This window comes from Homo sapiens, chromosome 10, assembly GCF_000001405.40.
Source record: "Homo sapiens chromosome 10, GRCh38.p14 Primary Assembly".
NCBI lineage: Eukaryota > Metazoa > Chordata > Mammalia > Primates > Hominidae > Homo > Homo sapiens.
Genome location: NC_000010.11, coordinates 67920733 through 67947296, shown reverse-complemented (window position 1 = coordinate 67947296; position 26564 = coordinate 67920733). Strand labels below are relative to the sequence as shown.

The 26564-nt window shown below is 38.4% G+C and overlaps 1 protein-coding gene across 22 annotated transcripts in view; it reads left to right on the top strand.

Moving 5' to 3' along the window:
• The window catches only part of HERC4 (HECT and RLD domain containing E3 ubiquitin protein ligase 4), a 153379-nt gene extending 127987 nt beyond the window's left edge, over window positions 1-25392 (top strand). For 21 of the 22 annotated variants that reach the window (NM_001278186.2, XM_047424999.1, XM_017016041.3 and 18 more), the window contains 6 exons: window positions 6192-6358; window positions 7643-7709; window positions 11062-11144; window positions 14517-14700; window positions 22110-22212; window positions 24158-25392. In NM_001278186.2, coding sequence (NP_001265115.1) covers window positions 6192-6358; window positions 7643-7709; window positions 11062-11144; window positions 14517-14700; window positions 22110-22212; window positions 24158-24366 — 813 coding nt within the window. In that variant the 3' untranslated portion in view covers window positions 24367-25392. The remainder of the gene's footprint in view (window positions 1-6191; window positions 6359-7642; window positions 7710-11061; window positions 11145-14516; window positions 14701-22109; window positions 22213-24157) is intronic. The other variant, NM_001278185.2, reaches the window with a different exon arrangement.
• Window positions 25393-26564: the final 1172 nt, after the last annotated feature.

Below are 26564 nucleotides of genomic sequence, written 5' to 3'. Positions count from 1 at the left end.
TTTACATGGAATAACTGTTTTCCACCTATTTCTGTCTTTGGACCTAAAGCAAGACTTGTATTTTTTTAAAGACTTGTTTTGTGGCCTAACATATATGGTCCATCCGTATGTTGTAGAGAACAATGTGTATTCTTCAGCTGCTGGATGAAATGTCCTATAAATATCTGTTAAATCCATTTGGTCTGTAGTGCAGATTAAGTCCAATGTTTCTTCATTGATTTTCTGTTAGAATGATCTGTCCAGTGCTGTAAGTGGAGTGTTGAAGTCTCCAGCTATTATTGTATTGGGGTCTCTCTCTCTCTCTTTAGCGGTAATAATATTTGCTTCATATATCTGGGCAGTCCAGTATGGGTGCATATTTATATTTGTAATTTTGTTTTGTTTTGTTTTGAGACAGAGTCTCGCCTTGTCACCCAGGCTGGAGTGCAGTGGCTCAATCTTGACTCAATGCAACATCTACCTCCCAGGTTCATACTATTCTCTTGCCTCAGCCTCCCGAGTAGCTGGGACTACAGGTGTGTGCCACCATGCCCAGTTAATTTTTGTATTTTTAGTAGAGATGAGGTTTCACCATGTTGGCCAGGATGGTCTCGATCTCTTGACCTCATGATCCGCCCACCTCGGCCTCCCAAAGTGTTGGGATTACAGGTGTGAGCCACTGCGTCTGGCCTATATTTGTAATTGTTATATCTTCTTGCTTAATTGACCCCTTTATCATTATATAATGACCTTCTTTGTCTTCTTCTATAGTTTTTGTCTTGCATCTGTTTTGTCTAATACCTTGTATTAGACAAAATAGTTAACATTTGCATGGAATATCTTTTTCCATCTCTTTATTTTCAGTATATGTGTCTTGACAAGTGAAGTGTGTTTCTTCTAGGCAGCAGATCATTGGGTCTTGTGTGTGTGTGTGTGTGTGTGTGTGTGTGTGTGTGTGTGTGTGTGTGTTTGTGTTTTATCCATTTACCTAGTCTGTGTCTTTTGATTGGAGAGTTTAGTCCATTTATATTGATTGATAAGGAGTTACTCTTGCATCTTTTTTTTTTTTGGACATAGGGTCTTGCTCTGTCACCCAGGCTAGAATGCAGTGGTGTGATCACAACTCACTGAAGCCTCTCCTGGATTCCAGTGATCCTCCCACTTCAGCCACCAAGCAGCTAGGACTATAGGCACGTGCCACCATGCCTGGCCAATTTTTATATTTTGTATAGAGATGGAGTTTCACCATGTTGCCCAGGCTGGTCTCAAATTCCTGGGCTCAAGTGATCTGCCTACCTCCGCCTCACTAAGTGCTATGTAAGCCAGCAGTGTCCAGCTATTCCTGCCATTTTTAAATGTGTTCTGGTTGTTTTTTGCCCTTCCTTCCTCCTTCTTCCTTCCTTCCTTCCTTCCTATTCCATTCCTTTTTGTGAAAGTGACTTTTCTCTGGTGGTATGTTTTGATTTCTTTTTTTTTATTTTTCGTGTATCTGTCGTATGTTTTTTGATTTGAGTTTACCATGAGGCTTGCAAATAGCTTATAACCCAATATTGTAAACACCAATTACATAAACTAACATGCAAAGAGAAAACTAATAAAAACTTTATGCTTTAACTGTGTTCCCCTGGTTTTTAACTTTGTGTTGTTTCTGTTTATTTTACTACACTATGTCTTGTAGCTGTAGTTATTATTTTTTATTGGTTCATGTTTTAGTCTTTATACTCAAGATATGGGTAGTTTATACACCACAATTAGAGTGTCATAATATTCTGTTTTTCTGTGTATTTACTATTACCAGTGAGTTTTGCTCCTTCACATGATATTGCTCATTAAAGTTCTTTTCTTTCAGACTGAAGAACTCAATTTAGTTTTTCTTCTTGAACAGGTCTCATGTTGATAAAATCCCTCAGCTTTTATTTTTCTGGGAAGATCTTTATTTGTCCTTCATGTTTGAAGGATATCTTCACTGGATATACATACTATTCTAGGATAAAAGTTTTTTCCTTCAGCACTGTAAATATGTCATGCCATTCTCCTGGCCTGTAAGGTTTCCATTGAAAAGTCTACTGCTAGATGTACTGGAGCTCCACTGTATGTTGTTTCTTTTCTCTTGCTGCTTTCAGGATCCTTTCTTTATCCTTGACCTTTGGGAGTTTGATTATTAAATATCTTGAAGTAGTCTTATTTGGGCTAAATTTGCTCTGTATTCTGTAACCTTCTTGTACTTGAGTATTGATACCTTTCCCTAGGTTTGGGATGTTCACTGTTATTATCTCTTTGAACAAACTTTCCATCCCATTTCTTTCTCTACCCCCTCTTTAAGGCCAATAACTCTTAGATTTGCCCTTTTGAGGCGATTCTCTAGATCTTGTAGGAGTGCTTCATTCTTTCTTGTTTTTTCTTTTGGCTCCTCTGATTGTGTACTTTGAAATAGCCTGTCTTCAAGCTCACTAATCACTTCTTTTTCTTGGTCAGTTCCACTGTTGACAGACACTGATGCATTATTCTTCAGCATGTCAGTTGCATTTTTCAACTCTAGAATTTCTGCTTCTTTTTATTTTACTCTGTTAAATTTATCTGATAGGATTCTGAGTACCTTTTCTGTGTTATCTTGGATTTCTTTTTCCTCAAAACAGCTATTTTGAATTCTCTGTCTGACTGAAAGGTCATATATCTCAGTCTCTCCATGATTGGTCACTGGTGCCTTATTTAGTTCGTTTGGTGAGGTCATGTTTTCCTGGGTGGTTGTGATGTTTGTGGATGTTCATTGGTGTCTGGGCACTGAAGAGTTAGGTATTTATTGTAGTCTTCACAGTCTGGTTTTATTTGTACTCATCCTTCTTAGGAAGGCCTTCCAGGTATTTAGAGGGACTTGGGTGTTGTAATCTAAGTTTTTGGTCATTGCAGCCATATCTGCATTAGGGGGCACCCCAAGCCCAATATCACTGTGTCTCTTGCAAACTAAGAGGTACTGTCCTGGTCTTGGATAAGATTTGGAAGAATCCTCTGGATTATCAGGCAGAGACTCTTATTCTCTTTCCTCACTTTTTCCCAGAGTCTTTCTATGCTGAGCTCTCTGGAGCTGGGGGAGGGGTGACACCAGCCAGCACCTTTGTAGACACCACTACTGGGACTGCACTGGGTCAGACCTGAAGCCAGCACAGCACTGGGTCTCACCTAAGGCTCATGGTAACCACTGCCTGGCTACTGCCTTTGTTTGCTTAAGGCCCTAGGGCTCTGCAGTCAGCAGGTGGTGAAGCCAGCGAAGCTTGTGTTCTTCCCTTCAGTGCAGAGAGTTCCCCTCAGTCCCAGTTGGGTCCAGAAATGCTGTCTGAGAGCCAGGGCTTGGAGTCAGAAACCTTAAGGAACCTACCTGGTGCTCTGTTCTACTGTGGCCGTGCTGGCATCCAAGCCACAAGGCAAAATTGTTCCCACTCTACAGGCCCCATCCATAGAATAATTAGGTGGGGACCTGTCAAAGGAGAATCCTCAAATGTCAGCATATGTTGGTTTTTTTATCCTTTGGGTTTTCAAGAAAGGTTGTAACCCTGGGTGTCTGTGTTTTAGTAGTGTTCTGGACCCTGGAAAGGGAAGCTAGGATTCTCCTTGTTCACTGTACAGACCTTCATTTGATCCCTTTGTTTTCAGTGCAGCACCCTAACTATCAGCTGTCTCAGATTCCAGACCCTCTGGTTCAGGCTCTCCAAAAAGGCAAAGGACTTTCCACCAAGCATCCTAGTTTCAACCCCACTCTAATACCTCCGCCTTTTAGAGTCTTTATGTTTACCAGCTGAGCTAACTGGGCTACCTCTGATATTGCGGGTATTGGTACGTCCAGTTCCTGAGCCTGTAGCACAAATTAGCTGTAAGTTACTATTTCAATTTTTTCTGCTTTACCAATTCAGTTACCAGCCATTTGTCTACTTTTCATATTTTGAAATGTTATTAACATCTCTTTATTGCTCTTACCTCCCTTATTCTCTTTTTTCCTGTGGACTTATACCATTTTTCCTCCTTCTCTTTTAGAGGGTTTTAGGAGGGGGAAAGATTTAACACATTAATCAGTCTGCTCTATTTAAGAACTTTATAAACTTAAACAGAATTAAGACATAACAGCACAGAAAGATTAATTTGACCACTGAAAACTGTTACATTTATGCATAGCAGAAAACATAAAATTGAAAAGCATGTAACAGGCTGGGTTGTATGTAACAAATATGACACAGAGTAATACTCCTAATATATGAAGAATTCAAATACAAATACTTAAGAAAAACATTATCCCCCAAAAGATAAGTGGGCAAAGTACCTGGAGAGATATTTCATGAGCACATATGTATCTCTGATTTTCAGTATCACAAATAGTCAGAAATGTGTACTAAAGCAAGTTGTCATTTTAAACTCAAAAGAAAAATGTGTTTGTGTGTGCATAGAGTATATATACAGATGAAAACGTGAAGAGTAGAGCATTTTCCTGGACTGCAAATGGCAGTTTAAACTGGAACAGGAGCTGGCGCAGTATCTCACGCCTGTAATCTCAGCACTTTGGGAGGCCGAGGCGGGTGGATCACCTGAGGTCAGGGGTTCGAGACCAGCCTGACCAACATGGAGAAACCCCATTTCTACTGAAAATACAAAATTAGCCAGGCATGGTGGCTCATGCCTGTAATCCCAGCTACCCGGGAGGCTGAGCCAGGAGAATCACTTGAACCGAGGAGGTGGAGGTTGCCGTGAGCCAAGATCGCGTCATTGCACTCCAGCCTGGGCAACAAGAGTGAAACTCCATCTCAAAAACAAACAAACAAACAAACTGGAACGGGGGTAGAGGAAAACAGATTAGCAATATGCTTGACTGTCTTTTGACTTATGAATTCTTCCTTAGGAAGTAGAATTTCTCCTAGGGAAATATTTCAAACTATGGACAAAAATATGCAAAAAGATGTCCATCTTATTTTTAATACTACTAGCTAGGAAGAATAACTGACATTTATTGAACCTTTAGTGTGTGTTTCAAGAACTGTGCTAAAAGTGTTTAACGTATATTATCCCATGTAATCCTCACAACAACCATATGAGATAAATACTATATTTACCTTCTTTGAAAACACAGAGGCTAGACTGCTAAACCAGGCTGGAGCCCACGTCTTATTTAAAACATTTATTCTTTAACCATCATGCTCACAATTTTCTGTAAATACATATTACTTTTATAAAGATGAGGGAAAAAAATAAACATTTTCAGTGTGTCAGTAGTGTAAGTATGTTTCAGTTATCTAAGCATCCAAGGAGAGTAAAACAGCTAAATTTAGCAACTCATTGTACTTTTATGATACAATATGCAGCCATTAAAAAGTCATGTTTTGGCCAGGCACGGTGGCTCACGCCTGTAATCCCAGCACTTTGGGAGGCTGACGTGAGCAGATCACCTGAGGTCAGGAGTTTGAGATCAGCCTGACCAATATGGTGAAACCCAGTCTCTACTAAAAATACAAAAATTAGCCTGGCTGTGGTGGTGTGTGCCTGAGGCAGGAGAATCTCTTGAACCCAGGAGGCATACGTTGCAGTGAGCAGAGATCACACCACTGCACTCCATCCTGGGTGACAGAGGGAGACTTTATCTCAAAAAAAAAAAAAAAAAAAAAAAAAAAGTTGTGTTTTAGAAGAACATTTAGTGACATAATACTCATGTAATTAGAAAATGAGATAAAATCTTAAATACGGTGTATTAAAAATATTTTTCTGAGCTTATTATAGGTGGAAATACACAAAATATTTTTAATCATTATTCCTGAGTGATTGGTTTACAGGTGTTTATTCATTTTCTTTTCTATGTTTTTTCTTTGTTTTCCAAATTTCGAATGTGTATTACTTTTTAAATCAGAAAAAAAGTTATAGTAATTATTTCACCTATTAACTTAATGTCGAATGACATGAATATGCTTATGTCTGGGAGAAAACAGTTGTAAAGTCGTATGTATAGTACGATTTCAGCTAGATATATTTTTTTTAAGTCTGAGAAAATATGCTACATGGAAATGTACAAAAATACTAACAGTGATGTTATCCCAGGGAGACAGTAATGAGGATGAACTTTTGTTATTTATTACTTTTTTCTCTATCTTCAAAATTGTATATGAGCATATTTATGTAATCTTAGAAAATTTAATATTTTAACTTGGAGGACATGTGTTTACTTTTTCTTATATTTTTAGACATTTGAAGACAGTGATTTGTTCCATTTGATTGGTGTTATCTGTGGCTTAGCAATTTATAATTGTACCATTGTGGACCTCCATTTTCCTTTGGCTTTATATAAGAAACTACTGAAAAAGAAGCCATCCTTGGATGATTTGAAAGAACTAATGCCTGATGTTGGGAGGTTAGTTGGAAAAAAAAGTCAAAAAGTAGTAGGGTTTGGGAGGTAAAAAGTGGGGAAGGTACAGAAAGCTTTCCTTCTATGAAAAAATATATTTTGTTCTTCTTGTTAAATTTCTGAAGTAAACAAATGCCCTTCTAATAAAGGAAAATCCATTATGTTTCTCAGATCAAAATTTTCTATTGAAAGACTAAATTTGGCTGGCCCAGTGGCCCACACCTGTAATCCTAGCATTTTGGGAGACCGAGGCAGGTGGATCACCTGAGGTCAGGAGTTTGAGACCAGCGTGGAGGTCAGGAGTTCGAGACTAGTATGACCAACATGGCGAAACCCCATCTATACTAAAATACAAAAATTAGCCAGGCGTGGTGGCCCACGCCTGTAGTCCCAGCTATTCAGGAGGCTGAGGCAGGAGAATTGCTTGAACCCAGGAGGCGGAGGTTGCAGTGAGCCCAGATTGCGCCATTTCACTCCAGCCTGGGTGACAGAGCAAGACTCCATCTCAAAAAAAAAAGAAAGACTAAATTTTTAGTTGTTTGACAATACCTTGCAAATATCAGATAATCACCTTAGGAAAGTAAATTTTTTTTCTGAGAGTGGTTAAATGATTTATTTGGACTTTTACTTCTGATAACCTTCATTCCTAGTTTGAATATGTGAAATTTATTTTTATTAAATAAAATGCATTAAAAATTTTATATAAGTTAGGACAAATGGGCCAGGTGCGGTGGCTCACGCCTGTAATCCTAGCACTTTGGGAGGCCAAGGTGGGCAGATCACGAGGTCAGGAGTTCGAGACCAGCCTGGCCAACATGGTGAAACCTGGTCTCTACTAAAAATACAAAAATTAGCCGGGCATGGTGGCGGTCGCCTGTAATCCCAGCTGCTCTGGCTGAGGCAGGAGAATTGCTTTTAAAAACCCAGGGGGCAGAGGTTGCAGTGAGCCAAAATCATGCCACTGCACTTCAGCCTGGGCGACAGAGCAAGACTCCATCTCGGGAAAAATAAAATAAAATAAAATAAGGAAAAATGTTGAAAATAGTTGGATACATGGCCTTTGTATTCAGAAAAGTGATAAGAACCTTTTACTAATTTTTTTCCTTAAGCATCATTTATAAGTTTGCCATTGTGTATTCACTATTCTGAAACAAATATAAAATTACAAATTGACAAAAGGATTTTACCAAGAGGGAATGAGAAGTATATATATATATATATATCCATAAGTAAAATAGTCAAAATATCCAATAATTTTTTCCTCTCAGAAACATATATATTATTTTGCAGAAGCATGCAACAGTTACTGGATTATCCAGAAGATGACATAGAGGAAACATTTTGTCTTAATTTTACGGTAAGATGGAAGGACATAGGTTAGCCTGATTATTTATCATCTCTTTTATTTAACAGCCGTGTCTTAGGGTTTTTCTTTATTTTGATGGATGGAATTCTTAAAGAACCCTTTAGCTAACATTTATTGAGCATTTACTACATGCTAGCTAGTCATAGTACATGCATTTCATTTAATCCTCAGCAATCCAGTGAGGTTGGGATTATCCCTGGTTTACAGATGAAGAACACTGAAAACAGTCATTACCTTGGGGAGTCAGTATGCATACCAGCCTCTGTGACTTAAACCTGTGTACTTTATCATTATGCTAAAGATATTGACAAATACAAGACATCCTCTTTACCCAAGTGTTCATTTTTGAGTCTGCAATTACAGAAGTGCTTTAGAGAAGCAAAAGGTTATTGTAATATGAGAATATTACTACTAAACTTAAAAACATTAATTTCCACTGGTACATTCCTTTCTATTTCATACTAACATTCATCCTTGCCCATCTTGTCTTATTCACTGTTGGATGATGTAGATAAAACAAATGCAAATGCATTGCAATATTATTTGGAAAATGAAATTGCAAATCTTGTAAAAGATGCACAATTTCATTAAGGCAGCAAAGGGATGTGGTTTTTTTTGTTTTGTTTTGTTTTTTTGAGACAGAGTCTTGCTCTGTTACCCAGGCTGGGGTGCAGTGACGTGATCTCAACTCACTGCAACCTTTGCCTCCCAGGTTCAAGCGATTCTCCTGCCTCAGCCTCCTGAGTAGCTGGGATTACAGGTGCCTGCCACCACACCCAGCTAATTTTTGTATTTTTAGTAGAGACGGGGTTTCACCACCTTGGCCAGGCTGGTCTCGAACTCCTGACCTCATGATCCACCCGCCTCGGCCTCCCGAAGTGCTGGCATTACAGGCATGAGCCACTGCACCTGGCCAAAAGGGATGTTAAATAACTGATCCAGTCACATGCAAAGCCATTGATAGATGAGGATATGGCAGAAGTAGACTAGTTGGTAATTAAATAAGAGAAAATCCATAAGTATTACGGTAAGGCACTCCAGAAGGGAACAATTTGAATATTATAAATTAGACTCTTGGAGAAATTGTAAAACCTTCAGTTTTCTTTTCCCTTTTCTTTTCTTTTTTTTTTTCTTTTTTTTTGAGACAGAATCTTGCTCTGCCCAGTCTGGAGTGCAGTTGTGCAATCTCGGCTCATTGCAACCTCCGCCTCCCAGGTTCAAGCAATTCTCCTGCCTCAGCCTCCCGAGTAGCTGGGACTACAGGTGCACACCACCATACCCAGCTAATTTTTGTATTTTTAGTAGAGATGAGGTTTCACCATGTTGGCCAGGATGGTCCCAATCTCTTGACCTCGTGATCTGCCCGCGTTAGCCTCCCAAAGTGCTGGGATTACAGGCGTGAGCCACAGCACCTGGCCTCTTTTTTATTTTTTAAATTTTTTGCTTGTATATTTGTTTGCCACCCTGCCACACACACAACATTCTCTTTATGGTTTTGTCAAAGCTGACAAAAGATGCCATATTCTGCTGTCATAAAATTTGCCAAAAAAAATTGCATGTTCATAATTTTTTCAAGAAAATTTTAAGACTGTTTTCTGTCCGGGCACAGTGGCTCACGTCTGTAATCCCAGCACTTTTGGAGCCCAAGGCGGGCAGATCACTGGAGGTCAGGAGTTAGAGACAAGCCTGGCCAACATGGTGAAACCCCGTCTCTACTAAAGATACAAAAATGAGCCAGGCATGGTGGCACGTACCTGTAGTACCAGCTACTCGGGGAGGCTGAGGCAGGAGAATCACTTGAACCTGAGAGGTGGAGGTTGCAGTGAGCTGAGATCACGCCATTGTACTGCAGCCTGGGTGACACAGTGAGACTCCATCTCAAAAAAAAAAAAAAAAAGTTGCTCTCCACAAATCCAGATAACAACAGAAAAGCATTTTCCAAAGTGTGTTCCTGTTAGAATAAGGTGACCATAAAATTAAAAAAAACAAAAACAAAAACGATTTTCTATGAAATTTTGGTTCTTTTTTATTTGATTCACTCATACCCTTGTTAGTTTCTTGAATTTTTATTGATCATCTCAGTTGACTAAAAAATTAAGTTTCAAGCTGTTTAATTTCTAATTTATCAGTCACCAAATTTGTGAATTCTTACTATATTCAAAGAACTATGGTAATTCAAACATTTCTTCCCACTGCCATTTCTTTCTCAGAGATTTTTCAGTGGCTCTTTATTGCTTGTAGAATAATAGCTTTAGAATGGGTGTCAAAGACATTTTTAAACTGGCCCTCTCCTTTCATTGTATCCCTCCCTTCATACCAAGTTTTGTCATATCACACAGTATTTTTTTTAATATACCTTACCTTCCTCTTTTTCAGAGCCACTTGCCATACATTTTCAGAAACTTGGTATTTATTGTAATATCTAATTTTTTGTTCAATTGATATTCTCTGTCTGAAATCTCACTCTCTTCTTAATCTTTCAAAATACTACCCCTACTTGTAGGTGCTTTTCAGATGGCATTTCTTCCTCAAGTTCTTTCACACTTCCTCTAGTTTAGAATTCTGTTTGCATTCCTCTATGATCTGATAACATTTTATTCATCTCTGTCTTATAAATGCATTATTTTATTATAATTAGTTCTTCATATGTTACATTTCTCTTCCTTTACTAGATAGTAAACATCACAGCAGGAATATACTCATCTAACATCCCACTCCCATCATAGTATTTTATAAATAGCAGGTTTTCATAAAAGAGGATAATATTCCAAAAAGAAGGAGTAGCAAAAGAAAAGATGCATAAGTGGGAATGGTAATATTTTTAGAAAAATTCCAGAAGTAAAAGAAATAAAAGGTTTCAAAATAACTGCCTATCTTTATAAACCAAATTAGTACATAACTGGAAAAACTGTCTGTGATAAAGTTTACAACAAGGGTGATAGAGGAACCCTGGAGTAGCAGTTGTCATGTGGGAAGAATGCATGGTTTTCTAAGCTGAATAGCATTCTCATACTTGGATTTTATCACTCGTCTAAGGAAAACATCCTGTCTAATATTTTATAGTAACAATTCTAAAGTTTTATGCACAACAAATGCTTAGTTTCCTTATTAACTTACCAAACTTGGTAATTTGTAATTAATCATGGTAGGATTTCAAACTAGAGAGTACCAAATTTCTAGTTCTGGCTTTAAGTAGAATTCTCAGATAAGCTATATGGTAGCAGAATTTTATCTCAAATTTAGTAGTTTTTTTTAATTAAATGAGAGAAAGGTAGAATATAATAATAGATTATTATAAGTTTTGAGTCTGACATTGACTTTTTTTAAAAATTTAAATTAATAGATCACAGTTGAAAACTTTGGTGCAACAGAAGTGAAAGAGCTGGTTCTAAATGGTGCAGACACAGCTGTTAACAAACAAAATCGGTAAGTGAATTTTAGCAGCAACAGTGGGAGTAATAAGATTCAGTAGACATTTTCTTCTGTACGTAGAAAACGTGTCACAACCCTAAGCTTTTACTCCAATAAAACTTTAATTTTGAGTGGTTAGTGAGGAAATAATCTGCCTTTTCCTCCTGAAATCCCTTGAAGACATTAAAACAAAGAGAAGGGAGAAGTGACAGCAGCAAACATTTTTGGAAGCCAGGAAACAGTAGTAACTAACTTAAGCAAACCAGAGAAAGCTACAACATGAGATGGAAAAGAGGAGTCACGAAGCCAGCTGGATCACTTCACAAAACAAAAGTTTGGGTGCTGAGAATAAAACATACCTTTAGAAAATGCATGGTGTTTGGGGAAATGCTAGAACTCTTATAAGAAGCAGTTAGAAACTAGTTTCCCATGCTAACATTGGATTTAAAACAACAACAGAAGAAATTAGTTTCCCTTAGCACACCAGGAATCTGGCAACTGCCCCTCTCTGGCCTGGGCAGGAGATTGGAAATTTACCTTCTGGAGAAATTGAACTAAAGAGACTGTGGGTTTGAGGACACCTGGACACTGCCACAGGTAAGGAGCTGAACTGAAAACAGGGAGATTAAGTGCTGAAAGTCTATAGCTCCCTCCTTCTTGGTACCGTATAGTGAAAGATCCTTTTCTGGGGAAACTGCCTAACATTTAAAATGTAAATCCATAGGCCCCGCACAGTGACTCACACCTGCAATCCCAGCACTCTGGGAGGCCGAGGCGGGCGGATCACGAGGTCACGACAACGAGACCATCCTGGCTAATGCAGTGAAACCCCATCTCTACTAAAAATACAGAAAATTAGCCAGGTGTGGTGGAATGTGCCTGTAGTTCCAGCTACTCGGGAGGCTGAGGCAGAAGAGTCTCTTGAACCCAGGATGCAGAGTTTGCAGTGAGCCGAGATTGTGCCACTGCGCTCCAGCCTGGGCGACAGAGCGAGACTCCGTCTCAAAAAAAAAAAAAAAATGTAAATCGATAGCCAAAGGTCAACAGACATTTAAGGAAAGGCCAAAACAGTCAAAAAGAATGGCAAGAAACCAGGAACCATGCAGGTTGAAGGACAAAACTTCAGAGGAAACCGAAATCAGTATCCTCAGAATGATGCGTGACATCCAGATGCATACAATTAAAAATGGAAAAAAAAAAAACTCATTTGAAAGAATTGGAATGAATGAAATCTGTCAAAGAAAATATTAAAAAAAAAAAAACTTCCCAGAAACGAATGACATCTTTTCAAGATTGAAAGCACGAGAAGTGGAAAAAAGATCAATACCAAGACAAGATACATGAAATTTCAAAATTTTCAGTCAAAGGGACCCTAAAACTGTCCAGAAAACCCACAGACCTAAGAATCAGTAACATCAGACACTGGAATCAAGGAACACTGGAAGCTAGAAGACCAAAATTTTGGGAGAAAATTACTTTTAACTTAGAATTCTGTATCCAAATTATCAAATGTGTGTGTTTAAAAACATTTTTATACATGCACAGTCTCAGAGAGTTTACTTCTGATGCCTTTTTCTCAGGAAGTTACTGGAGGATGTGTTCTGTCTACCAAAACAAGGAATTAAACCAAGAAAGAGGAAGACACAGGATTAAAAAAACAACCACCACCACCACCAGGATTCAAACAAGCAAAGATTCTTTCTGAAGGATCAATAACTGTGTCGATTTAGAAATAACAACTTGGGTTAGATCAAGAGGATGGAGGGCTCAAGGAGAGAAATAAATATCTAGTATTTTGAATGAATCTAGAGGAAATGGATATTTCTTTTGGAGAAGTTGGCGATGAATTAGCAAACTAAAGAAAACAGAAGTTCTTTTTAAGAGAAAAAGGGTAACCATAGAATACAGCTTAACTGTGAATAATATAGAAATGTTAACAAATATTGAACCAAAAATTGTTATATAAATATAATAGATGTACAGGGGAGTAGAAAGTGAATGGGACAATTACATTAAAGATTAATCCAAAGCAAATTGAAATTTAAGGAATAACAATAGAACTGTGTTGTTAGAAGCTTGAATATAAATATCAGAAGGAATAGCAAAAAGAGTTAAATAGTTGCCTTTTAATAGCGGGAATTTCTGGCAGAGAAGTGCAGGACAGAGTTGCTTTGTTCTCTTCTATTTTGTTACAATTCTTTAATAGTGGCTGTTGCCAGGGAGTTGGTCCAAAGGATTATAATCCTAATTCCGCTACTTAGATGCTTTATAACTTTAAATAAATTAGTTGATGTCTCAATGCCTCAGTGTCCTTCTCTGTTAAATGGAATGACAAATTATACTTACTTCATGGGGTTGAGAACTAGATGAGACAATATTTTAAGATACTTAGAATAAGAACTAGCACATGTAGTGCTCAGTAAATGTTGGCTATTAGGATTGTTACTATTTGATGTTTTAAACTCTTGATATGTCTTACTTTGATAAAAATAAAGCTGTTTTTAAAATGATGTGAAAAAATTTTAGGTCCTTCTAGATATCCTTGTTTTAAAAAAAAACTTGGTTCTGAAAGGCAACTTACCATTATTCCTATTGCAGAATCATCCTTTATTACTTGGAAGACAAAGATATAAAATAGTGAAATCTTCTAGTATCCATTCTCATTATTTGACCAGATAGCATCATAAAATGTTGTGGCTAGCAAAACAAAACAGATTGAATAAGATTGTGGTTCAAATTCAGGGGTTAAAGGGGCTTCTTTTTTTCTTTACAGTTTCGTTTTGTATCATAAGAGATAGAAGAGAATCAGAAGTGATTGTATATGTATTCACACGTACATTTGAAAAGAAACTACACTTGTACTCTTTAATGATTATCCTAAAAGAATGCTTAGTACCCTCTCTTAGGCATTTGTTAAAGTAAATTTTGTTCAGATTCCTTGGAACCCAAGGAAAAGAAGGCTATAGTTGGTCAAATGATCTGAATCCAAAGCTCTCATTTTTTTGTCACCTATTGTTTGTAACAGACATTCCTTTTAGGGATGCATGTGACATGATATATATAAATTCTCAATAACTTGTAAATATTTTAAAATTATTTTCATAGCCATTTGCATCATTCTGCCCATTAGGAAATGACATTTTTTCCATTAGGAATAGCCTAAGAATAACTGAATGCCTCATGGATACAGCTGATTTTTATATAGAAAGAATAATAGCTTTTTCCATAGTGACTTTGGTTTTGTCCTGTTTGAACGCTACTCATACATTCTCAGTTTCGTAGATATGTAGCAGAAATTGTAGGAGCACTTGAAGTTTTAATGACTACATTATGGATTCTTCATACATGATTTTTATAATCTGTACATGTGTGCTTTTTCATTTCTAGGCAAGAGTTTGTCGATGCTTATGTGGATTACATATTCAATAAATCAGTGGCTTCCTTATTTGATGCTTTTCATGCGGGCTTTCATAAGGTCTGTGGAGGAAAAGTCCTTCTGCTCTTTCAGCCTAATGAACTACAAGCAATGGTCATTGGAAATACAAATTATGATTGGAAGGAACTGGAAAAGGTAGGGGAAAACTAATCTCTGATATTGTTAAATGGAAAGATTTATATATGGAAATCTTGCCTTTTTATGTATTATTTTTTATTTTATACACTTTATTACTACCATTTTACAGGAAAGCACTCTACCCTTCAAACTCCACAATGAATGGATTTGAACGGTATATGAATTAGACACTATTATAATTGGTGGTATTGATATAGAAAACTCATCTGGCCAGGCACAGTGGCTCTCACCTATAACCCCAGCACTTTGGGGTGCTTAGGCGGGAGGATCACTTGAGGCCAGGAGTTCAACAGCAGCCTGGGGAGCACAGCAAGACCTGATCTCTAAAAATAACTTAGGCCAGGCGTGGTGGCTTACACCTGTAACCCCAGGACTTTGGGAGGCCAAGGTGGATGGATCACGTGAGGTCAGGTGTTCAAGACCAGCCTGGCCAACATGGTGAAACCTGTCTCTACTAAAAATACAAAAATTAGCTGGGTGTGGTGGCACGTGCCTGTAATCCCAGCTACTCAGGAGGCTGAGGCAGGAGAGTCTCTTGAACCTGGGAGGCGGAGGTTGCAGTGAGCTGAGATTGTGCCACTGCATTCCACCCTGGGCAGCAGAGCAAGGCTCTGTCTCAAAAACAAAAAATAAGTAAATAAAAGTAGATAAAAATAATTTTAAAAATTAGCCAGATGTGGTAGCAAACACCTGTGGTCCTACCTGTGGGAGGCTGCAGTGGGAGAATCTCTTGATCCCAGGTGGTTGAGGCTGTAGTGAGCCATGATTATACCACTGCACTTGACCCTGGATGACAGAGCAGGAGCCTGTCTGTCTCAAAAGAAAACAAAAATGTCATCTGTGACACAGCTAGATAGAAGCCCTAACCAAGCCAGGCGCGATGGCTCATGCCTGTAATCCCAGCACTTTGGGAGGCCAAGGTGGGCGGATCACCTGAGGTCAGGAGTTCCAGGCCAGCCTTGCCAACATGGTGAAACCTCGTCTCTACTAAAAATACAAAAATTAATCGGGTGTGGTGGCACACACCTGTAATCCCAGCTACTTGGGAGGCTGAGACAGGAGAATTGCTTGAACCTGGGAAGCGGAGGTTGCAGTGAGCCAAGATCGCGCCACTGCACTCTCCAAAAAAAAGCCCTAGCCAAAGCTGAATGGGTTTTCGTTCTGCCTCAGTCTTAGGAAAACCATCATGAAATGCAGTTATGATTTTTAAAAATCTTTGTTTCCTTTTTTTCTGATTAGTCTCAGTGTTACATTTTTTAGCAGAGTAATTATCAAATATTGATTCTGATAAACATTTAATAGAAAGTGCTGGCCCTGTGTGGTGGCTCATGCCTGTAATGCCAGCACTTTGGGACACCGAGGCGGGCGGATCACGAGGTTAAGAGATCGAGACCATCCTGGCCAACCAACATAGTGAAACCCCGTCTCTACTAAATATACAAAAATTTGGGCATAGTGTCGCACGCCTATAGTCCCAACTATCGAGAGGCTGAGGCAGGAGAATCGCTTGAACCCGGGAAGCGGAGGGTTCAAGTCAGTGAGATTGCGCCACTGCACTCCAGCCCAGGCAACAGAGCAAGACTCCATCTCAAAAAGAAAGAAAGTGCTAGGTTAAGCCAGGCATGGTGTCTCATGCCTGTAATCCCAGCACTTGGGGAGGCTGAGGCAGGCAGATCACTTGAGGCCAGGAGTTGGAGACCAGCCTGGCCAACATGGTGAAACCCCATCCCTACTAAAAATACAAAAATTAGCCAGGTGTGGTGGCACACTCCTGTAATACCAGCTACTTGGGAGGCTGAGACACAAGAATCACTTGAACCTGGGAGGCAGAGTGACAGAAAGTGCAAGGTTAGATCAGCTTTGAGGAAGATATATGTGAAATTAATCTGCTGATTTTCTATCTTTCTAATATACCATCCTCTGATTTATGCATTTATAATTAGTTAGATACTGTATACCTATTAAGATGACTAACATAAAAAAACAGAGCAGCACTTACCACTCTACTTTTTATGTCAGTCATATTAATAGGTGCAAAGCATCAGGAACATTTATATGTTGCCGATGGGGATACAAAGTGGTATAGTCACTTTGGAAACAGTGGCTGTTTCTTAAAAAGTTAAACATACATTTGCTATATGACCTAGCAGTCCTACTCCCAGGTATTAAATTATATTCACACAAAAATCTGTAAACCAAGGGGACAGAGTTTCAGTTTTACTAGATGAAATGAATTCTGGAGATGGTTGGTGGTACAACCATGTGAATGTAGTTAATGCTACTGAAGTGTACACTTAAAATGGTTAAGATACAAACTTTATGGTATGTGTGTTTTGCCTTAATTTTTAAAGACTTTTTTTTTTAATTTGCAAATGAGTGAAAAACTGGAAACAACTTAGATGTGCTTCAGTGGGTGAATGGGTAAACCTACTACAGTATACCTATTCAGCAGAATAACTACTAAGTGTTAAAAGGAAATGCACAGCTGGGCCGGGCGCGGTGGCTCACGCCTGTAATCCCAGCACTTTGGGAGGCCGAGGCGGGCAGATCACCTGAGGTTGGGAGTTCAAGACCACCCTGACCAACATGGAGAAACCCCATCTCTACTAAAAATACAAAATTAGCTGGGTGTGGTGCCTGTAATCCCAGCTGCTCGGGAGGCTGAGGCAGGAGAATCGCTTGAACCTAGGAGGCAGAGGTTGCAGTGAGCCGGAGATCGTGCCGTTGCACTCCAGCCTGGGCAACAAGAGTGAAACTCCATCTCAAAAAAAAAATGCACAGCTGGGTGTGGTGTCTCACACCTCTAATCCTGGCACTTTGGGAGGCTGAGGTTGGCAGATAGTTTGAACCCAGGAGTTCAAGACCAGCCTGGACAACATGATAAAACCCTGTCTCTACAAAAAATACAAAAATTGGCCCTTTATGGTGGCGTGCACCAGTAGTCCCAGCTACTCGGGAGGCTGAGGTGGGAGGATCCCTTGAGCCCGGGAGGTAGAGGCTGCAGTGAGCCCTGACTGCACTCTGTCATAGGCAGCAAAGCAAGACCCTGTCTCAAAAAAGAAAAAAAAGCACTATTGATACATGCAACAACTGGATGAATCTGAGGCTTTATGCTGAGTGAAAGAAGCCAGTTTCAAATGGTTGCATACTGTATGGCTCCATTTATGTGACATTCTTGAAAAGACAAAAAATTATAGTGAATAGAGACAAGGGGTTGAGTGGGAGGGTGTGACTTCAGAGGAGGTAGCACAAGAGGCATCTAAGAGCATAACAGTGATGGGACTGCTCAGTATCCTAATTGTGGCAGTGGTTACACAGATCTGCACATGTGCTTAGAACTTACAGAACTGTATACACCCCAGAATATAGCCAGTTTTACTGTGTAGTAATTTAAGGAATAAGATTTTAAGAATAATTAGGACTTCTAGTTAAACATTATGGAATAAACATGTCTGCTCCCTCCCAAAAATATCACTAGAATGACAGAAATGGAATAAAAATAGAAATATAAAATAAAAATACCAAAAAATAAAAATGCAATGAACAAGAGAAGAAATAGTTTTGGAAGACAGAAAGTAAGGAGATAAATTGATGAGTGACTTAGAGCAGAGGAAAATTGAATTCTAAGCCTCCAGAGGGACAGGATTGTCAGGAGGCAACTCTTTTTTTTTTTGAGATGGAGTCTTGCTCTGTCGCCCAGGCTGGAGTGCAGTGGCTCAATCTTGGCTCACTGCAGCCTCCGCCTCCCAAGTTCAAGCGATTCTTCTGCCTCAGCCTCCCGAGTAGCTGGAACTACAGACATGCCACTATTCCCGGCTGATTTTTTTATTTTTTTAGTAGAGATGGGGTTTCGCCATATTGGGCAGGCTGGTCTTGAACTCCTGACCTCATGATCCACTCGCCTCGGCCTCCCAAAGTGCTGGGATTACAGGTGTGAGCCACCGCTCCTGGCCCGAGGCAACTCATTTTATATCCTAGAATCTGAAAGGCTCAAGAATTGGTATACCATGTTACCCTTAATGGCAGGGATGAAGGTTGGACTAAGGGCAACAGAATTACTTTAAAGCCATTTTAAAGAATAATTGGACCATGCATGTCCCCTCTCCTACCCAGCAAAAGACAGCTTGGGAGAGAGGCTTTACAATTTGGGAAACAAGGTAACACTGAGGATGCTACACAGCTGGTAGCCAGGTGTAAATCCTTCAGGAAGGAGATTGAAGGTTCTTGTGTAGTAGTAAATTGATCTTCTCAAAAGAAGAAGCCTGTAGATACTAACTCTAAGGGGTCCCCCAGTGGAAATGGACTCCACCTCTAATCACCTTAAAATGAAAATGATATAACAGCTTCTCATCACCCTTTAGATCCTACACAATTTTTCCCTCCTTGCCTCATCTCCTGTCATTGTTCCTCTCACTCTGCCTCAGCCTTATTAACCTCTGCTGAGCCTAGAACCCTCCAGGCACACTCCAGTCTTAGGGCGTTTGTTTCCTTTTCCAAGTGCCTGGAATTCTCTTCCCCTGATAATCACAAAAGATTCTTGCTCTCACCTCCTTTGTGTGTTTATACCTTCTCAGAGACCTTCCCTGGATAACTGATCTAAAATTGCAAACCTCTCTCCTGCACACGTATCCTGTCTCCCCTCGCTGTTTTATTTTGCTTCTTTGGATTTGACATAATTTTACTTAGGTTGCTCCTTCCCCCCACCACAATGTAAGCACCATGAGGGCAGAATTTTTGCCTCTTTGTTCACTGCTGTATTCCCAGCACCTAGGAGAGCACTCAGTAAGTACTTGAAACCTTGCCTGAAGTGATAATTGATTTAAGTGTTCATTCAGTTAAGACAGGACATCTTAAAAAGTATATTGTAGCGGCCGGGCGCAGTGGCTCATGCCTGTAATCCCAGCACTTTGGGAGGCTGAGGCAGGCGGATCACGAGGTCAGAAGATCAAGACCATCCTGGCCAACATAGTGAAACCCCCGTCTCTACTAAAAATACGAAAATTAGCTGGGTGTGGTGGTGTAGGCCTGTAATCCCAGCTACTCGGGAGGCTGAGGCAGGAGAATCGCTTGAACCTGGGAGGCAGAGGTTGCAGTGAGCCAAGATCGTGCCACTGTATTCCAGCCTGGTGACAGAGCAAGACTCTATCTAAAAAAAAAAAAAAATATATATATATATATATATATATATATATATATATATATATATATATATATGGTGTATTTATTCTTAACACTTTGATTTCTTCTGTTGTATATCTGATTCATTACAATTTTAGTGATTATGATTTGGAGCTTTAAATGTTCTTTCTTAATCAGGACATGTGTGCACATTTCTACCAAACCATTTAGAGATTTAAAAGAAAAAAAAACTTTAGCCATCCTCTTTTCATTCCCCACTAACATGCTCACAGACTTTAATTCAAACAGTTGAATAAATTCCATAAATTCCATGCTAGAATTCAAGCTGTTTTCTTCAAACTTGTGTGCAACTAACAGCAAATATTTTGCATATTTGAATTATTGAGAGTTCAGTGATTAAGATAAATCATGGCTACAAATAAGGAAAGTCCAAAATTCAAGAAGCCCATTAGCAAGTATTTATTGAGCCTCTACTGTGTGCCGGATAATGTACAGCTGAAACCATGCAAGAGATTGAAGAGAGGGCAGGAAATAAGATAGAGACATGGTCTTTGCCCTAATAAGAGAGCTAGAAATTAAATGTTTAATACACAGTTTTAATTAATACAGTGAAAAAGAGTTTAGTGAATGGTGCGTAAGGAGGAGCCTGATCTAGGCTAGATGAATCTGGGAACGCCTCTTACTAGACGGTGAGCTCCACAAGGTAAGTGAGGATTCTGTTCACTGAGGTTTTCCCAGGGCCCAAAACATTGACTAAAACTCATTATATATTTGTTGGATGAATCAATGAATGAATTAGATGGCATTTAATCTGAGCCCTAAAAGGGTAAAAATTAGCCTGATGACCAAAGAAGAAAGGATGTGTCTGAGTGGTGTAGGCTGAGGGAACAGTATGTCCAAAGGACCTGACGCATCTGAAGAACTGAAAGTTAAAGCCAACTGCGGCTGGATAAGAACAGTTCACAGTATAAACTATTTCCTCTCTACTTCCTACCTGCTTCTCTTTTAGTACTAATTTTTTTGTTTTTTTTTTTTTTTATTTTTTATTTTTTTTATTGAGATGGAGTTTCGCTCTTGTTGACCAGGCTGGAGTGCAATGGCACAGTCTTGGCTCACTACAACCTCCGTCTCCCAAGTTCAAGCGATTCTCCTGCCTTAGCCTCCCCCAAGTAGCCGGGATTACAGGCGCCTGCCACCATGCCCAGCTAATTTTTGTATTTTCAGTAGAGATGGGGTTTCACCATGTTGGCCAGGCTGGTCTGGAACTCCTGACCTCAAGTGATCTGCCCGGCTTGGACACCCAAAGTGCTGGGATTATAGGCGTGAGCCACCGCGCCCGGCCAGTACTAATATTTTTGACAGGGGAGATATTTTAGTCCTATTGCAGCAAATTACCCCAAAACTTATTGGCTTCAAAATAACAATGAAACTCTTGTTTCATAGTTTCTGTGGGTCAGGAATTCAGGAGTGGCTTAGCTGAGTAGTTTGGGCTCAGGGTTCCCTCATGAAGTTGCAGTCAGAATATTGGCTGGTGCTATAGGCATCTAAAAGCATGATTAAGGATAGAGATTCACTTCCAAGGTGGCTTACTCACATGACTGTTGGCAGGAGGCCTCAGTATAGCACCATGAGTACTTCTCTCCATATAGGGATGTTTGAATATCCTCATGAAATGACAACTGGTTTCCCCCAGAGTGAGTGATCCAGAAGAAGGGCTGAAGCCATAGAGGTTTTTTTTTTTATGATTTAGTCTCAGAAGTCATACATTCCTCATATTCACAGTATCCTTATACACACGGGCATGAATACCAGGAGGCAGTGCTCACTGGTGGCCATCTTGGAAACTACCTCAGAAAATTTTTAGTGTTGCTTAGTACCATATTTTTAAAAGGAGAGATAAATTGTAATGGTTTGACTTCTGTTCATGAATACAGAGAAAGGGAATTTTCTGATTATCACAGATAATTCCATGTCAGACTTTTGATGGTCCTATAACATTATTTTATCTAGTTTCTCTTTATTTACTTTTGAAGATGATAGTATGATCCTATCATGTTCTTTGAAGTGCTAGGAAAGATTTCTGGTGATTCTTACGTATTTCTTCTTTTTCTCCTGGAACTAATAGCTTCAAATTGTAAATGTCCAGAAAACAGTGGGCAATCCATTGAATTGCACAAGTTGCAAACTACTGGACCATGTTAGCTTTATGTGCTAATATATTAGCCAGTGTGTCCCTTAATACTAATAAAAGATTATGTTGTTTTTAGAATACAGAATACAAAGGGGAATATTGGGCAGAACATCCTACGATAAAAATTTTTTGGGAAGTATTTCACGAATTACCATTGGAAAAGAAGAAACAGTTTCTGTGTAAGTATTTCTAACTAGTTGTATACTTTATGAGACTGGAATCTAATTATAGTATTATTCCAAAGCCCTGTTTTAATCTTCAAGTAATTTTTTTGAAACAGAACTATCTGCACTCTTCAGTACATGTATTTTCTTATTTCAAAGGCTAAATTCAGTTTGCCTTCAAAATAGCATTGATTCATTCTATGAAGTAAAATGGAAGCTAACTTGGAAATGAAAGCAAACTATAGCTATGTTATAGTTACAATAAACTGTGGTTACAATAAACTAGGATTGTAGAATTCCTTTTAGATTTCTAAAAAGATCTCTGGAGTATAGTCATCCTTTGGCATACATGGGGGATTGATTCCAAGACCTCCCTGCCAAGGATACCCAAATCCAGTAGATGCTCAAGTTTCTTGTATAAATTGGCATAGTATTTGCATATAACCTACACATATCCTTATACTTTAAATCTTCTCTAGATTACAGTCATGTGCCACATAATGACTTTTCAGTGAATGACAGACCATATATACGATAGTGGTCCTGTAAGATTATAATACAGCTACTGTACCTTTTCTATGTTTAGATACACAAATACCTACTGTTATGTTACAGTTACCTACAGAATTCAGTACAGTAACATGCTGTACAGGTTTGTAGCCTAGGAGCAATAGGGCTATATCATGTAGCCTAGGTGTGTAGTAGACTATATACTGTCTAGGTTGTGTAAATATATGATGTTTACAGAATGAAATCACCTAATGATGCATTTCTCAGAACATATCATCATCGTTAAGTGACACATGAATGTACATGTTATTAATACCTCATACAATGTAAATGCTATGTAAATAGTTGTTATACTGTATTGTTGAGGGACCAATGTCAAGAAAAACAGTTGACACATTCAGTACAGTCACAAGCATCCATTTTTTGAAAATATTTTCGATTTGCAGTCGGTTCAATCCATGGATACAGAGCTCACAGATACGGAGGGCCAACTGTATTGCTCTTTTCTCTGTTTGGTCTTCATTTTCTTTTTCTTTTTCTTTTTGCTTCAAGACTAAAACTTTGGCAATTTCTATATAAAATAAAGCTTTTTCAGGCCTTAGTTCCCTCATTTATAACTGATGCCTGTGTATCTTTCTTCTGTTAAAGTCTGTATTCTAATTGAAATTTGACTTATTTTTAAAGTTGTCAGAATTTATGTGTCCAAATCGGTGACATTTCCTTTGATACTCCTGCTTTTGCCAGGAATGATTTGGCAACCTCCGAGAATCTTGGTCAAATTCTTCTGTGTGTCATAAGGATGAGAAATCATTACTCTTTAAGAGTGATTTGAGCCTGGGCAACATGGCAAAACCTCATCTCTATAAAAATTAGCCCTGGGCTTGGTGACTGTGCTCCCAGCTACTCCAGAAGCTGAGGTAGAGAGGATTGCTTGAGCCCAGGAGGTCGAGGCTGCTGTGACTGTGACCGCACACTGCACTCCAGCCTGGGCAACTGAGCAAGACTCGTCTCAAAAAAAAAAGAATGATTTGAATTTTGGCTGCCCATTATAAATTTCTGATTTAAAAAAAATAACAGAAACGAAGCAAATAGAAAAAGAAATCATAATCAAAACTGCATTTTGTATTTGGTTTGTCAACTAGTTCTGAATGGCTTTTCCAAAAAAGGGCTCTCAAAATGTTTTGGCAATGGCAAAATACTCACTTATCAAACATTTATTAAGCACTTCCTTTGTGCCAGTATTAAGATTATACTTTTAAAGAAAAAATATTGTGTGGATGAGCAATTAGAATGTGTCTCAAAAAACTTGTCTTCCACAAATTAGGAAGTAAGATAACACGTTAGAGCAGATGTTAAAGTGAAGCTCTGCTGTAGCGACTGTACCAAATATTACTTGCTACTGTATCTTTTTGTTTTGAAGTGGTTGACTGAATGATTTCTTTCTTGGCAGTATTTTTGACAGGTAGTGATCGCATTCCTATTCTTGGTATGAAGAGTCTGAAACTAGTCATCCAGTCCACAGGAGGTGGTGAGGAGTATCTCCCAGTTTCCCATACTTGTTTTAATCTTCTGGATCTTCCAAAATATACAGAAAAAGAAACTCTACGCTCTAAACTGATCCAAGCTATTGATCACAATGAAGGCTTCAGTTTAATATAACTTTGGAGTTATAACTATTCAGTTTAGTGCAAAAGCATTAAACTATTTGTGTTTTTCTTGTGGTGATGAATTCAGCAAGGTGACAGAGGTACTATTATAATTCTTACTTGCAGAATGTTCAATCTACGAGTGTTCATGGAAGCCAAAAAATATTAAAGGAAAATGAACAAACTGTTAATATTATTGTACAGAACCATGGATTTTTTTTGACCATCTTCTAATAAACATAGCAAGTATTATGAATACATTAAAGTTTTACTAACATGAATTTTAAGAGTTTGCATATTTCAGAAATGATCTGGTGTGAGTGCATGGAAATATTGCTTAATTTTTCTTCAATCATTGAGTGAAAAACCTTTAACTTTGGCCTGCAATAGTCATTTGATTATTTTTTCATTTTGTAAATAATGTTAAGTTTTGTAATAAAATAGTTATGTTCTGATACCAGTACAGTTTCTATGGTTGTAATTGAACTTGAACAGACTTTTAAAGGTTAAAAATTATGATTTAAATCTTACTCTGAGACTCTATAAAAAGAAAAAAAAGGTAGCATGGTGGAAACACTATCTTTTCTTTTTTGCTAGAATAAGTGTCTTTGTGCAAACCTAAATCACAGATAGGGAATATACTACATAACCTGCAGTTCTTTTCTTTGTGAATCCTGACACACTGATAGATGGGGGATTGTCGATCAGAGAACTTATTAATATTTAGTACTGGAAGAACTCTGTCTCCACAGTTGCCAGTAATAAAAAGAAACATTGGCTACTATGAGCACCAATCACTGGGTTATAGCTTTCAAAATTATTGATGCTGCAGTGCTTTAGAGCTATTTCCTTGAATTTAAGAAACAAATCTTAACAGTTTTATGGTGCTGATGCTTAGTTGTCTCATGCCATTAAATTGTAAAAGTGAGTTGATGCAATACATGTGACTTTCTGCTATAATGCAAATATTTATTTTTTAAATTTATTTTAAAATGCCGTGAAAACTGTTTAATAAAGATTTATTGTTTTAATATTTAAACTTTCAGTGGTTCTCATATAAGAGTCAAAATTTTTCAAAAAGAGGGATGGTTCAGGGAAGGTCTCTTAAATTTCGGATGACTTGTTTCTATTCCTACATGAATTTATAGAGGTCCACAGTCTCTTAACCTGCAATTCTAAAATTTAAAAAAACTGAAAAGAATATTGTCATCTCTCACTTTGCAGAAAAACCTGATCTGAATTGTTGAAGCTATTTATGGTATTCACTAAATAAGACTATGACCGCTATTGGGTGCTTTAAAAAATTCTTCAGAATTCACAATTCCAAAATGCAAATAAGCCCAAGGGGTTGGATAAGGGATTGTGGACTTGTACTTTTCAGTAGATTAACTTAAAAAACTATTGGCGAACCATAGAACTCTTCTATAGATAGAAGCACTAAAACAATATTCTCACCTAAGGTACTTTGTCTCAAAGTAGTAGCATTCTTCCCCATGAGAGTGTTTCCACATACCTGATATTATACCATTTTCCCTGTTCATCCACTTCTTGAGGTAGTAATTATTCAAATCAAAAGCATGTCAGATGCTCTTTCTCAATAGTAGTAACCTTTGTATATTATGAAGCTGATTTGTGAAATAGCAGGCACTTTGGATTAATAGTTCCATGAACAAATATTTTAACAAGAGAATAGCATCTGGGAGCACACTGTACAAAGTTTAATTTGGGGACTTTTCCTCCCTGTTACTCCAGAACTGTGATACAATGTATTAACAGCAAGGAGATTCATGGTAGAAAGTTAAAATACCATTGAAGATTTCTGAAATTGCCACTTACTTTTAAAAAACAAGAAGAAGTCTCGAGCTTTGTAGATCAGAGCAGCAAGGCTGCAGATCATTTGCTAAATTGTAGGGACTATGATTATTGAGTTGGCTAAATACTGAAGTATTTGGCCTCCACACATCTATTTGTAAGGTACAAATACATAGTGTGTGTGTAGCTCTCCTGTCTTAGTAGTCATTCAAGCTATTAGCCATTGTTCAGGATGATTAATAAGACAGCAGAACCAAGACACTCCTTTCAATTAAAAGGAAATAAAACCAGAATGCAGGCTGGGCGTGGTGGCTTACACCTATAATCCCAGCACTTGGAAGGCTGAGGTGGGCAGATGGCTTGAGTCTAGGAGTTCGAGACCAGCCTGGCCAACATATT